At 38.0% G+C, this 15299-nt stretch overlaps 1 pseudogene; it reads right to left on the bottom strand.

The window, feature by feature from the left end:
• On the bottom strand, positions 7816 to 8705 carry OR2AF1P (olfactory receptor family 2 subfamily AF member 1 pseudogene; annotated as a pseudogene).

Here is a 15299-nt window from a genome sequence, read left to right as displayed (position 1 = left end):
GGCCTCCCTACTACTCCAGGAAATAGAAGTCATCAGGTTGGAATTCTTAAAGTTCATGTCTCCTCCTACAAATGTGTATGCACTTGACCTATTATTACTTCCTCCTTCCCGCCTCAGCAGGAGTGTCTCTATGCCTAAGATTATCATTTTACCTGTGCTCTGGATTCCATTTCTTCCTACCTGCTCTGGAATCAAATTATTTCCTTTATTTTGTTTTTAACATCTCCCTCTTTTTTTTCTACTGACTCCTTTTCTTTATATTGTAAACTTGTTCAAGGTTTTTTCCCCCCACTATGCTATCCCTTCTCTGGCTATCATTTCCTATCACAGTTCAACCTCCTGAAAAATGTAGTCATCGCTAGCTATAGTATTTACTAGTCAGGAAGGGTCTATATGAAAGGGAGTTAAGAGATTCAGGCAGTAAAATGTGTGGATGAGAGGTTTACGTGATGGAGAAGAATAAAAATAGATGTTAGGTAGGGGTAGAGAAAGGAATAAAAGAATATAGTAAAACTGAGGGGGCAGCAAGAAACAGCTGGGGTAAACTAATGGCTACTGAAAGAAATGGTGATGTAGGCTTGCTACAGAAAACATCTGCAGAACAGGAATGAAAGAGACACACGCAAGGAAACAAATGCTACAGGCTTCCTGAAGGTGGAGTCCCAGTCACAGAAGTTGGAGGAATAGAAACGTGCGTAATAGAAATTTAGATTGATCAGAGAGGAATAAAATCTGTTTGGTCCTTTCTCTCCTTTCAACTTTAACTCTTTTCTGTATCTGGACTTATCCTTTCCTTCTGCTTCTGAGAAAGAAGCCCCCACCTCCCTTCTTGCCAGAGCTACCCATAGCATGTGCATGGTTAGCTAATTCCACCTGTTGCTTTTTCAGGGTCTTGCTTCAGTAGTTGTCCTTGTTTTCTATGCTACAAATATTTTACCCTATATTTCCCTCCCCTTCCCTTCCCTTCCCTTCCCTGCCTCCCTGCCTCCCTTTCTAATGAAAAAATATATACATATATACATAAATGTATATATTTCCTACTTTGTACCAAGCTCCTTTCCTTATGCCTGCAATCATACAGATGATTCTTCAATTCTAAAAGCATGCATTTCTTAATCCTGATAAATTCATAAGCTATCTCATTTCTCACCTTCTTTTATCACCAAACTTTACTAAAAAGTAGTTTACAGGCCGGGCGCGGTGGCTCACGCCTGTAATCCCAGCACTTTGGGAGGCCGAGGCGGGCAGATCACGAGGTCAGGAGATCGAGACCATCCCGGCTAAAACGGTGAAACCCCGTCTCTACTAAAAATACAAAAAATTAGCCGGGCGTAGTGGCGGGCGCCTGTAGTCCCAGCTACTTGGGAGGCTGAGGCAGGAGAATGGCGTGAACCCGGGAGGCGGAGCTTGCAGTGAGCCGAGATCCCGCCACTGCACTCCAGCCTGGGCGACAGAGCGAGACTCCGTCTCAAAAAAAAAAAAAAAAAAAAAAAGTAGTTTACATTGTTGCCTATGCTTTCTCACGCCTACTTTCTAGCTTTTGAACCTTCCATTTTACTCACACATCTTGTTTGACAGTTTCTAATGACTTTCTAATTGTCAAATTGAATGCTTTTCAGAACTTTTCCTCCTCCATATGTTGGAAATATTTGACATTGGTAATCACCCTCCTCCTTCTTTAAATTCTCTCTTCCTTTGGCTCAGTCTTTGGGTTCTTCCACTAACTTCCATACAACCACTTCTTCTCTTTAAACTGCCCCTTTCCCTTCCTACCCTGTAAGCGTGGGTATTCTCCATGGACACTCCTTCTGATCTTGCCTCTGACTTCAGGCATGGTGATTTTACATACACCTACAACATTTCTTATCCCCTCTGTGTGGTTGACTTCCAAAATTTATCTGTGTATCTAAATTCTCAGACCTGCATATCCATGTATTTGATTACTATCTCAACTTGAATGGCTTTTTAACACCTTATGTTCAGTAATATCCAAAGCTGAACCCATTTTCTTTTTACCAAAGCCAGCAAGCCCCCTCCTTTCCTTCTTTGTTTAGAGTGTTGCTCTCTTCCTAGTCACCCAAATGAAACATTTTGGATTTATCTTTGACTCATCCACCTACTCCTTCAGTAAAGATTTTGGAGTCTACTATGTTATTTTTGTTTTTAAAATTTCCAATGGCTTACTCTTTACTAAAGAATAAAGTCTAAACTACTTTGGTTAGCAATATGCTCTACAACATGCCCCCACCTTATCTTTCCTGATGTATATCACTTGCAGGCTATCTTTCAGCCAACAGGAGCTAGCCATTCTGAAAATGAACTCCATGGCATGCCCCTAAACTTGTGCACATTTTTTCCTGCCACTTGGAATAGAGTCATATCCCACACTACATTTTGATTATTATAATCCTACCTGTGCTCAAGTTCTTCTCTCTTAAAAGAAATATTCCATTAACCTTGCTCAAGTTCTTCTATTTTAAAGAAGTATTCCACGTTTCTTCCTACCTACAAATAATTTATCTATTTCCTTTATGTTTACAACATAGAGTGCTTGCTTATACTACTTGCCAATTATTCAAATGAAACGGCTAAGTTTAAGTTTCTTGTTATTGAAAAGGAGGAAGAGAGTACAACAATGGGGTAAGATTTTGGGTTAAACATTATCATGCAAAGGTCTGATGATAGATAGGAGATCTCAACTGGAAGACTTGATCAAGGATGACAATTAGGGAAGAGAACAGCTCAGATTTGTAAATTAAGGATGTGGTTTTTTCATTCTTCATAAAATAGAGTAAACCATTCTATTTTATGTTGGAGTAGAGACATTTCAATTGCATCTCAGAAAAGGGAATAGAGCCAGAGAGAATTGGAAATTGACCAGTGAAGCTGAATATTTAGAAAATTGTGTGCAAAAATGTAGACTTGAAAGAAGATTATTTGGAAATGCATACTAACAGTTTGCAATATGCTTACATAAAAAAAGAAGTGATCCAGTAGGGCTGACAGGATTTATATGCAAGAGAGAGTAGAGGTCCGACACATGAAATGAAAGATAGCGCTTTTTCTGATCATGCAATAGTACTAGCTGAAATTAATTTCTTAAAAGCTTGGAAATTTGGCAGAAGTAAATGGAGGATGAGCAAATTCATGTAACTAAGAGAAGGCATAGAAAATGATGAGGAATGGTCAAGGAGAGAAGCCCAACTTTCATTCCAAGCTGTCAGAGAGGATTGGTACAGATGAGAAAATAATTTGAGGAAAGCTCTCAAGGAAAGAAATGAAGCCAAATACTTTGAAGAGAAAAATAGATATTTTTCAATTTCAGAACAAACTGATGGAGAGCACAGTAAAAAAATAAATAGATAAATAAAATCAAAATAGGGAAAATCAAAGGGCAAATGACAAATATCTGCAGTAGACTGAAAGAGTCAAGGTAACAGTGGGAAGCAGCAAAGAGGACGGCTACTGACATTTTCTCATGTTCAGGAAGAGAAGAAAGTTGTCATGTGTTTGAGAGATTTTAGACAGTTAGGTTAAGGTGACTTCAAGTCATTTATGAGAATTCTTTATGGAGCTGTAATACAGGAAAGGATGTAGGCTAATACTGGGGTACGCAAAACCATGCAGAAAATCAAGGAATGACTCAGCAACAGACTTCACAGCTGAAAATGTGAGTGAACATCATGAACAAGGTGTTGATGAGAAAATCTGGATCTGCAACCCTTGTAGATGCAGCACAGTGATAAATCTACCAGCTTTGTGGTCAGAGGTGACTTTTAGTCCTGCTTCTACTACCTAAACAGCCATGTGACTCTGGACAAATGTTTTTAGCTTCCAGATTCTTAAATTACGCATCTGTAAAGACACTTCACGTTTTTATGAAGCTCAAATGAGATAACATTTATGCAAATATCTTGAACAACATTTAGATATTATTATTCCAAGACTTTTTGGGGTAGGCTGAGCAAACATTTATCTGTGGATTTCTCTGGTATATGGGTTAAGAAGGAAATGACCAATGTGATAAAACAAGGAGAGGGAGTGATGTTTGAGAAATGAAAAACTTAGAAACTGAACGTCACTGACATTTCTAAACAATGCTTTTAGAAATCTTCCTATTAAAGACTCATAGTGGCATGATTCATAATGCATGAAACGCATCTAAACGATGTCTAAAGGAGTGACAGGTGATCAGTGAACTTCAGAGATTATGTAAGAAGCCAGAGGATATTTATTATCTTTCGACAAAAACACTCTGTTTTAACCAAATGCAATTTTATAACTCATGCAGAGCTATTCTGGAATAGAAAAGGGGCTGCACTATGTGAATAAAACACAGCTATGTGCCTTTAGACCCTATCCCCCTCCATATCTCTCTGTGCTCATTTAGTTTTAGGAAAGAAATGAGTGATGTTGAAGGTGAGATTGCCTTATCCCTGAAGCTCCTTATTATATCTGTGCTGCTTTTGAGAAAACGTATCTGGAATGTGCATGAAATTGCATGTAAAAATAAAAAAGGAAGGGGTACTCTATGATACAGGTCTTTTCCAAATCTCTATTGCTATAGCACAGTTCAGGTCCACATCAGCTCTCAGATTATTGCTCGAATCATATTACCCTATGTCCAGTCTTACATCTCTTCAATCAATTGTTCACACTTGTTGTGAAAGTGAACTTTCTAAAGCACAATTCTGAACATTTTACTGACTTGCTCAAAACCTTCAGTGATTACCCACCACTTACTTACTGCACGAGTCTGCAATTTTTTTTTCTGTAAAGGGCCAGATAGTAAAGATTTCTGGATTTGTATGACACATACAGTCTTTGTAAAAACATTTTTCTTTGCCTTTTTTACATCCATTAGAAATTTGCAAACCATTCTTAGCTCATGGGCTGTACAAGCCAAGGGCTGGATTTGGCCCTTCAGGCTGTAATTTGTTGATCTCTAGGATGAAGAAAGTGCAAGCTCTTTAATAGAGAATAACAAGTCTCCCCCTAATTTGGCTTACTGATTTTTTCTCAGGTCGTACATATTGCCAGAAACACTTCCCACACCTTCTGCTGCAGTAATGTTGAATTGTTGGCAGTATCTGAAAGTACACCAAGCTGGGTTTCGTACCTCTGTACTTGTTCACATTATGTCCACTAAAATTGTCCTCCCTTATCCAACTGGCAAACTCTCTCTCAAGACTGCTAAAATATTAAATATTTCTTGACTGGCCCAGTTATAGCTGGTGCCTGTACCTCATAAATAATGTGGATCACAGTATCTGTAGTTCTTCACTGGTGCATATTTGCTTCCCAGCTCCAATGTGATCATCTCAAAGGTAAAAAATGTCTTATTTGGATTTGCATCCCTAACACATAGTAGACACGTAGTAAATGTTTGTGGAATGATTGGCCCGAGGTACAGTGTTATCAAGTCATCCCAAACAAGTAATAAATAGCATAAAAAGAAATGAAGAGAGGATCAGAAGTCCTCTGACTTGTGAATGACTTATACACAGAAGTGAGTTATTATTTTCATAGTCTCTAGAGAAGCTCTCTAAGTCCCACTCTTATAACTTGCTGTGAGAATTCCTCATATACCCGCTAGGACATGAGTGTGGTGGCAGAGACCCTCATGGAATATTTTTTGGGGATCAGAAATCCCATCTAACAGTGTCAGTGTTTTTAGAATGCTACATTGCGACTCAACACCTATCTTCCAATAAACATACTTTAAAAAGTATGGTCCTAGGACTTTTAGTATTATTAATGATAAAGTGATGACCTAAATAGGTGTTGGTGAGCTGCCCTTGGAATGTAGCCACCCTATCTCAGTAGAGAAAACGTGCTCTGAGTTCCAAGCTGATGACTTATGAGTTAGCTTTTGGACATAACTCATTCCTAAGTTTGGGGCTGTCTCTACTTAAAATATATCAAGCATAGGTCAGAGGAACTGGAATAGGAGTCACCCAGATTAAGAGCAAAGCCATAAAAATGAAAGCCAAAGGGAAATATGATATTACAGTGTTTCTAAAATTAGAGAATGGGCTAGCAAAGCTCCTCATTGGGAAGTCTGGAGGGAAAGATTCATAAAGGAAATAGACTTTAGAAAAAAAAGAACAGGAGCATTTGGATGAAATATAGAAAATAGCAATTGTATCTAACATTTATTGAATGACTACCCTGTGCCAAGGGCTGTTATAAGGGCCTTACATGAACCATAAATTTAATCCTTCCAGCAACACTATAAGAGGAATACTATTACTATTTTTATTTTGTGGATGGGGAAAGTGATGCACAGAGCAATTAAGTAACTTGCCTAAGCTGTAATGGAACAGCTAGTAAATGTGGAGCTCGAATTCAAACTCAAGTTTTCTGATTCCTTTGCCCACCATCCAAGCATGTATATTCTGATTATATATACATGGTACCACAAACAAAGTGCAGTGTGGAACTGACAGGGACTTTTTCCTGGCCCTCTTAAAACCTAGAAAAACTGATTCAGAAGAAAATCCCTAATGAAGGAGCGTCAGGCAGAATCAATGGACAATTGTTCTTCCCAATGAATTTGCCTCTTGATCTCTGGCAGCAAATCACAGCAATCAAGGAGTAAGCATCACACTCCATTTGCCCATGATAATGGCAGAAAACTTATGGGAAGAGACAATTTTGTAAGGTATTTTTAAGAACCCAGAAAGGATCAATCCTCAGAAAGAAAGTAAATAAAAAAGCCAAGGATAGAAAATATTGTGACCAGAAAGCCATCTACCCAAGAAAAGTCATGGGAGGAAAGAAGGTTTTAGAAGTAAGAAGACATATATATCCACCTTCTGAATGTGCTATGGCAGAATTTTAGAGTCAGTTGGTCAAAGTTAAGATGAGAAAAAGAATAACAAGTTATTATGACACAAAGTATATAATAAATGTTGCCTGCCTATAACAGAAAGTGCATATAGCATCTTATTAAATGGAGAAAAAGGAGAAAAATAATCACAATCTTGGTCATGAAGACTCTTGGGAAGAGCAGAAATACTAAAGCTCATAAATGTGTATGAGAAATGGGGGGTTGAAATGGCCAGAGGGTCGCTAAAGCATATCATGGAAGAGGAGACAGAGAAACAGGAGAAGGCAAAAGAATAACAACTTCAGTATAGACATTTTTATAAGAAATTGATACGATGGAAATTTAATATTTGTAGAAACAATGTTGGTTGAGAGAAGATTACTTTAAAATAAGAAATTATAAATATAATTTAAAAGCACTTATTAAAAGATAAGTGCTTTTACATACAAAAGACACTTCTTGCCATGGAATGTTATCACCTAAATGGGAGAATTGAGGGGCCATTTGTCCATTAGGTTCAAATTGGTGTACACACCTATAAAATGTGTTATGAGAGGCAAATGCTGTATTGTGGTTGTATAACCACTGTCTTGTATATGAATTTTTCCCACTTTGTGTGGCAAGTACAAAGATGTTTGGTTACAAAAATCTTATGGCTTATACCCAAGAGAAAGGGCTCTCCCTGATAGGCTACTATGGCTGTTGCGCCTGCCTCCACATACCTACTACCATTATTCTCTCTGTGAACTACTTTGGGCACATTCATGGCTTTAGGTCTTAATGTGGGGCTTGACAAAGTGTTAATATTTATGGTAAATTTTGTGATAATATTTATGGTAAATTGTTAATGAATGCCTAGTGGGGACCATGGAAAGAATGCTCACTAAAATTTTGTTGTTTGCTTTAAAGAAATATAAATTGAAATAATAGGCCAAGTTTTCACTGTTTTTCCTGCACTTTGGAGACGTTTAAAGAGAACTGTTAGGATTTTTCATTTCCTTTGGCTAACTTTCTAAGTGCACCTTTTATATCCTTATTTCTCTGAATGTAAATTGGGGGATTTAACATGGGAGTAACTGCTCCATAAAGTTTTGAGACAACTTTATCCTCTTCCTGGGTTCCCTTTGACTGAGGTTTCAAGTACATGCAGATGGCTGCCCCATAAAATATGGTGACTCCAGTCAGATGAGATCCACAGGTGGAGAAAGCTTCACGCCTAGCCTCCACAGCACAACAAAAATGCAAAATTAGGAGATGAGGATGAATGTGAAGGGCAGGGGCAGTGTGAACACACTGATAACCAGACCCTGAATCAGGCTGACAAGGGTGTCTGAGCAGACGAGCTTCAGCAGGGCCTGGATCTCAAGGTAAAATGGTTGATGACATTGTGTCCATAATAACTAGCAGGAATTGCAATGATTAGTGTGACTGCTACTAAGAAGGCATGGGTCCAGATTCCCAAGGCCAACTGTATACAGACCCGATTGCTCATAATAATAGTGTAATGGAGGAGATAAGAGATTTCAACAAACCTGTTGTAAGCCATGCCAGCAAGGAGGAGACACTGTCATCCCCAGAAAGAGGTGTGTGATCATCTGAACAGAACAGCTGTTATAGGAGATGGTGGGGAAGTCCTTGATGCATTGAGCCAAGACTTATAGCTCCCAGCTGATGGAGTAACACATTTCAAGGGAGGATAAGGTACTGAGGAAAAAAAAATCCCATAGGAGTATGAAGTCGAGAATCTCATCTCACTACAGCAACGATAAGGATGTTCTCAAACGCTGTGACTAGTAGAAAAACAGTAGTTCCAAGAAGAAGGCAGTCTGGATTTCAGGGTGTTGGGCAAATCCAACAAGGATGAGTTCAGTCATCTCAGAGGCATTGTCTCTTTTTAGACCACCCATTTACTTGTCTCAAGTGTTGGGAAAAGAGACAAAACAATGTCATCTACATGAAGAAAGAAGAGGAAGAGCATCTCAGTAGCCTGTTATAGTTCATGTTCTGGAGCTCTAATTAATTGCTGTATGCCATTTATTTTACTGGGTTAGGTTCAACTGTTCAAGTATCCAGTGGTGGAAATATATGTTCTCTTTGCTTTTCTGTCTTATAGAAACTTATATGACCTAGGACAGACTGATTTAGTTGAATGGACTGTTAAAACCCAAATAGAGGTACTTACATTGACATTGAGTCAAATAGAATTATTACTCTCATAAAGGGGTTTAGCTACATGATTGATTTTACCCTTGACCAAAAAAAGGGCAAATAAGCTACATCTGCCCAATAAAAATGTTTTCCAGCTTTATTTAAGTTGATTCACCTCTTTAATAATAATTTTTAAATTTAAACTCAAGGATACACTTTTGAATGCTTGAAATACTTCTTTACTTTTCAACCCTCTTTTCCCCTTATATGTCATATTAGAACCACCTATATATGGTGAATTAGAAAGTGTATATGTAGCTAAACCATCTAGTCAATTCAATGGAAAAACACCAGTAGCCAAATTGACATGCAATAAACCAAACAATTGGTGGATTTGCTGAAATCTTACTCTTTGCTCAATTGTTCTGACATCTATCTTCGGCTGACAGAAGCTTACTATGTGCAGATCCTATCATCTCCATATAGTTTCGAACAAGAGCTTAAAGGGTGATGGGGATATCTTAATAGATAAAAGGATTTCATGCGGAAAACAGTTACTAGCAATTGTGAAAAGGGACAAGGCAAATTTTGAATGCATGTTTCCAGGATTTTTCAATAAGAAAAGACAGAGCCTTTTCAGTTTTACATGGTTTTAGTAGGGAGTGAAAGATATGACCAATTGAAGTGTCTGTTGGCTTTAGAATTTTCGTATTTAGACACAGCGTCAATCTCACCATATTGTATAGTTATATTAGTGCCGTATATAATTGTGTAATTCTTTATAACTTTATAACTAAAAGGCAAACTGTTGACATACAGAAAGAAAGCAAGGGTGCCAGCTGGACCTAAGCTTAACTTTTGGTTTAGCCACTAAAACCTGCACAGTCTTGAGAAAGTCAGTTTTCTCATATGTGAAATGGGAATACCACCCAGCCTCTTGCAGGATTGTTCCAAGAATTAGATAAGATAATTTCTACAAATAAATAAATAAGTAAATGTGCCCGGCACATTTATAGCCACCCAAGATACCTTAACTCCTGCTTTCATGCCCCATGTAGACCTTCCCTACAGTTTGGACTTCATTTTGTAAACATGTGCCAAAATGTCATTCCATCCTACCTTTCCTTGTGAGGTTATCACATTACCAGAAACAATACAATCTTAAGTTTTAGGTTTGAGCAACAACTAAAGAAAGTTTGACTGTGTAAGTCATTAAAATCTGTTCCTGATAGTAGGCGGGAAAGACACATAAAGAGATGAAAATTACTCACTGACTTAGGGCTGGAGGACAGCAACAGAGAAGTGCACCTCATTCATAACAGAAGCATTTTGCAGTTGGCGACACCCCCACAAATGACTAATCTCCAAGAAGAAATTTGATTCCTTCAACTGCAAGGAAAAGAAGTTTAATACAAGCAGCTGTGGTAATAAATCTTCCTATCAGTTGTGGTTATAAGGCTCCAAAATCTTAAGTTAACTGTGCTGGTGAATCATGCACAATTATTTCTACTTGTTTAAATATCCTTTTCTTTTATTTACACAGAGGTGGCATGTAATAAGGCGACCATGATAGGTTGGTGTCCAAGAAACAATAAAAAATTCATTTTCTCGCATATATAATATTAATATAGATGCCAGTTCGTGACATGCAGTTTTTCTTTGCCTGTACAAATATTAAAATGATATTTCTTCTTCTAGTGTTCTAAATTCTGTTACTTTGTTCCCAGCTACAGAAAAATAAATTGAGGAGATATCCTTTCTGAATACACTGAAATCTTTTAAAAATGTTGGTGTTTGCCAAAGTATAGTCTAAGTACAAGACCAAAAATACTTCAGCAGCATTAAAAGAAGCCAGGATTCAAATGCAAGAGTAAGACAATGTTTAGAAATGTAGATAATCATGTGGTGGTTTAAGAATTGATAACCTCAGTCTTGAAGAAAAGTTTCCACTTTGGGGACTTATAGGATGTCCCTGCTTTGCAATTAACTCTCCCAATATAAACACACAGAGAGAGAAAACAAAGAAGGAGGAGACATCTGCTATGTTTAGCTCATTAAAATAAAGTTCATTTTCCTTCCAAATTGGTTAATGAGAATTTCAGTGAATGTTCCTGATAGCAATGATTCTGGTCAGTAAACATGGTTGTGGTGAAGAAAGTGAGACTTCCTTCTGTCTGGGCAATTCTTCATTCTTTCATTTTTTTTTCTTCTTGCAAGTTAAATGTTCAAGTAGTACTATGAAGATTTAATATTGAGGAATTTTGAAGACCAAGGTATATATCACAGTAGGACTGTGTGACACCTTTTGTGTCTGCTGGGTCCTCTGAATGATATGCTATGTTGATCAGTCAAGTTCTCTCCCAAGTATGATTGTGAGTCCAACAGAGACTGGGCATCATTTAATTTTTATTTAGTTGTTTGTTAACTTTAGGGACTTTAGACCCTATATAACTAAACTTAAAGCTGGGTGTACACTTTGGGGGCTGTAAGCCCCTGATTTTTGCAAACAAATCTAGGTCATCTGTTTTCTCTGGTATTCTACCTTGCACAGAAGAAACTCTTAAAAGATGCTTGCTGAAATAAATCCTCTTGATGTCACTTTGACTAAATGGATTCTTCCATTCAAGTAGTTTTGTGCTACATTCAGTCATACTGTTTTTGACCATTGGACTCTGAATAACATTTTTTTCTGAAATTTTAAATCTTCAGTTCCTTAGTACAAAAAATGTTGACTGATAGAGCAATGGTCTGTTGAAAGACAGCAGAAGAGAACTTTCAGCCAGATAGTCAGTTCACATTGGACTTTTGTGAGTCACTCCTTTTATCTGTCCATAGAGGGTTGGTACTAAGATTTGCCCTTTCTTTCTGGTTCTGTCCTAGGGACCATCTCATCCTGCATGTTAAAAACATATTAAACCTCCGTGAAAATTCACACAAAATGTAAAGGAGAATAAGATGGTGAACATTTGCAGGAGCATACAAATAGGGAGAAATTGCAGTGCAATCAAGGAAATATTTCACAGAGGACATGGTTGATGCTTCCATAATGAAGATTACAGAACTGGCATAGAGGGAAGCTACAGCAGGAATGGAAGGATTTAGCTGTCCAGGCATCTGATGGAAGTCTCATTCTGTTAAAAGCAGAGCATCTGATAAATTTGGGATTTGCCTTGCTGACAATTTCATTTCTCAGAAGGTTAAAGAAGCATTGAGGGGAAATGATGCTATGGACCTAATTATGATGGAATGGACTGGAATGTTGGGAGAAAATAACCACATCTTCTGGGAGTTCATAATAGAAAGAAACTGTATGGCCAATATTTCTAAAAGGAAAATTGGCTGTGAGGCCATAGATATTTTTCTCTCAATATTCTAATTTGAAATTTCTTAAAACTCTGATGATAATTTGACCAGAGCTAGAGAGCCTCAAGAAATTTAAGATGAAAATAGACATTTTTCACTTCAAGACCACAGCACAGAGCATGCAAACGGCCCAGACTTTGCTCTCCTGGGTGTAGACAGTACTTACATAGCAATCTCGTAAGTCCCAATTGACATCAGCTTTCCCAGCTTGTAATAAAAGTACACTAGACTCATCCCCGTAGCATACTGACCTGTGCGACCTCATCTGAAAGTTTGCCAGCTCTCTGGATTTGACTTATCCTATGGTTTTTTTTTTTCAGAGCACTTTGGTGTATATATGCAGAATATATACCATGCAGAATCATTCACTTTCATTTATCCATTCAACAAATATTTATTGAGTTCTTATTATGTGTTCAGTTCTGGTTTAGTTGCTGAGGGTAGAGCAATGAGCAAAAGAGGTAAAACTTTTCTTTTTAACCTATATTCTAATGTGGTGAGAAAGATAATAACAAGTAACAAATAAAATAAGTTCAGATAGTAAGAACTGTTATGAAGAAAATAAAACAGAGCAATTTGAAAGATAGTGGTGAAACAAAATCGTTATTATAAATGTGAGGTTTCAAGGGAGGTGGCATTTCAGTTGGGACCAAAATGTCCCAACGGCCATGTGAAAATCTAGGGGAAGATATTCCCAGGCAGAGGGAACAGCAAGTGCTCGGACCCCAAGGCAAGAACAAGTTGAAACTGTTTGCTGAATAGATAGGAGTTAAGTGTGGCTGAAGCATAATGTAGTGTGACCAAATGTCTTAGTTTGTCCAGGACTTTCCTAGTGTTAGCATAATAAGTCATGTGTAAGGGGAAACCTTGCAATCTCTGCATGTGATTTGGGATTACCACTGAAACTCGTGAATAAAATTAACCTCAGAGTCAGAGTATGTTTCTCTATGCTAGGAATGCTATAGTCTTTCCACCTCATTTTAGATGATATAGTTCCAAGATATCTCAACCACAAACCCAGTTCTGCTCCTGAGACAGACTGTGGCGGTACTCCTGTACTAAGCCATTTAGGATAATCAGCTATTTTTACTAGCATTTTACTTAGCAGGGAAGTAAGGCCACTGACATTGAATTTTGCACACAAACTACTCTCAAACCATTTAGTTCACTTCCAGTAACTGCACAATTGATTTTCTTTTAACCTCAAGGCTGAGCTTTACCATTTGCCAAGCAATGCTTCATCTTGTTCAGTTTGACTCAGAGCTCCAGTCCACTGAGGTCTTTTTGAATGTTAATTCTGGTATCCCAAACTTTACTTATTGCTTCTTGCTTTCTTTGTGTTAACAAAAATTTGATAAATTTGCCTTCTGGCTTTTTATCTAAGTCATTTGATAAAAATGTTAAACAGAACAGGGCCCTGGGTATGTCACTGGAGACATTCTTCCAACATAACATTGATCCATTAATCAATATGTTAGGAGGAATTTATTTAAGCAGATACCAAGTCCTAAAATTCCAAGTTTGTGTTTTACCCATGATTTGGGATATGACATGTAATCATGGGCCAAAATACTGCCTCCAGGTAAAGTTTCTCCCATTTGCTCTTGCAGATAATGGGTAATAAGACTGGAAATGTGGCCAGAATGGGTGGAGAACAATAAGCAAATCTTAGAGAAAGAAAAGGAGCCTGCAAAGCTGATTCAGAGGTCTTGCAAGTTGGGGAAGACCAAAAGAGGAGGGCACTTGAGGCCATAAGAGTTAAATGTCTCATTCTGTTATTAAAGGTTTTTGTAGTAACGCTACAGCCATAGAAGATACATAAACAAATGGGTGTGATTGTATTCCCATAAAATGTCATTTATAAAAACACATGGTGGGCCAGTTTTGACCAGGAGGCTGTAGTTTGTCAACACCAGCTTTAGATGATTCATAACCGCCCTTAAAGAACTGTCCACACACATGCATATTTTATTCCAGGAATACAGTTTTCTCCCATCCGTTCATCTCTATTTCAAGCTGTTTCATTGCTAAGCTTCCACACTATAGATTGGGAGTCTCTTTAATTCTTCTTTTATACTTGTTTCCTTTTAGGATTATTTCTTCTAACTTTTCTCTTTTATGATCTAGGACAGGGTAAGCTAAGTTTTTCCGTATTCAGGAATATTTTTGCTCTTGCAGACCATTGATTTTTGTCACAACTACTGAACTCTGCTCTTGTAGTACAAAAACAGCCATAAAGATCATGAAAATGAATGGGTATGGCTGTACTCTAACAAAACTTTATCTGTAAAAACAGGCAGTGGGGGGCTGGATTTGGCCTTCATGTTGTAGTTTGTCAAATGCTGATCTAGAAGGGATGGTGATTATTCTTGAAATCATATGCCCGAGCCTGAATACCACTTTGTATTTGCATTTCGCATTATAATAATTGGAGACCACCCATGCCCTACTGGCCGCTATGAACCCTAGTTCCTTAGGTATCCACAAGTCTTATGCCCTACCTTAAACAGCATTCCCTTGTGGCCCTCTGTGCCCATTGAATTCTTCATAGAATGAAGTCCTGGAAACATTCTGTTGATCCCACAGTCCCCAGTCTCAGAGTCCTTTGAGAAAGTCATCTTTAAAGAAGCCTGCCAGTTTTTATATGCCATGACCCTGGAGTGAAATTTCTGCCAATTTAATTATGAGGTGTCAGCAATTAGCAGGAATTAGCACCAAAAAGTTCAGGTTTCCTTTAGTGAAAACAACTCATACTCAGACACAGTGACAGCCATTTGCCAGAGCAGTCTAATTTCCTTTTGCACCAGAGGTTATGAGCATTTCTGGATGACTGAAGCTACTATTGGCAATGTGCACTTGGGAAGAGGAGATGACTGAGAGGAGGCACTAGGGAGTAGGGCAAGGGGCATTGCCACAAGACGATGAGTCCAAATGGCTACTCCATCTCAAAGAAAGA

The sequence above is a fragment of the Homo sapiens genome, chromosome X (assembly GCF_000001405.40).
Source record: "Homo sapiens chromosome X, GRCh38.p14 Primary Assembly".
NCBI lineage: Eukaryota > Metazoa > Chordata > Mammalia > Primates > Hominidae > Homo > Homo sapiens.
The sequence above is the reverse complement of the archived record's forward strand: the minus strand, read 5'-3'. Positions and strand labels throughout refer to the sequence as shown.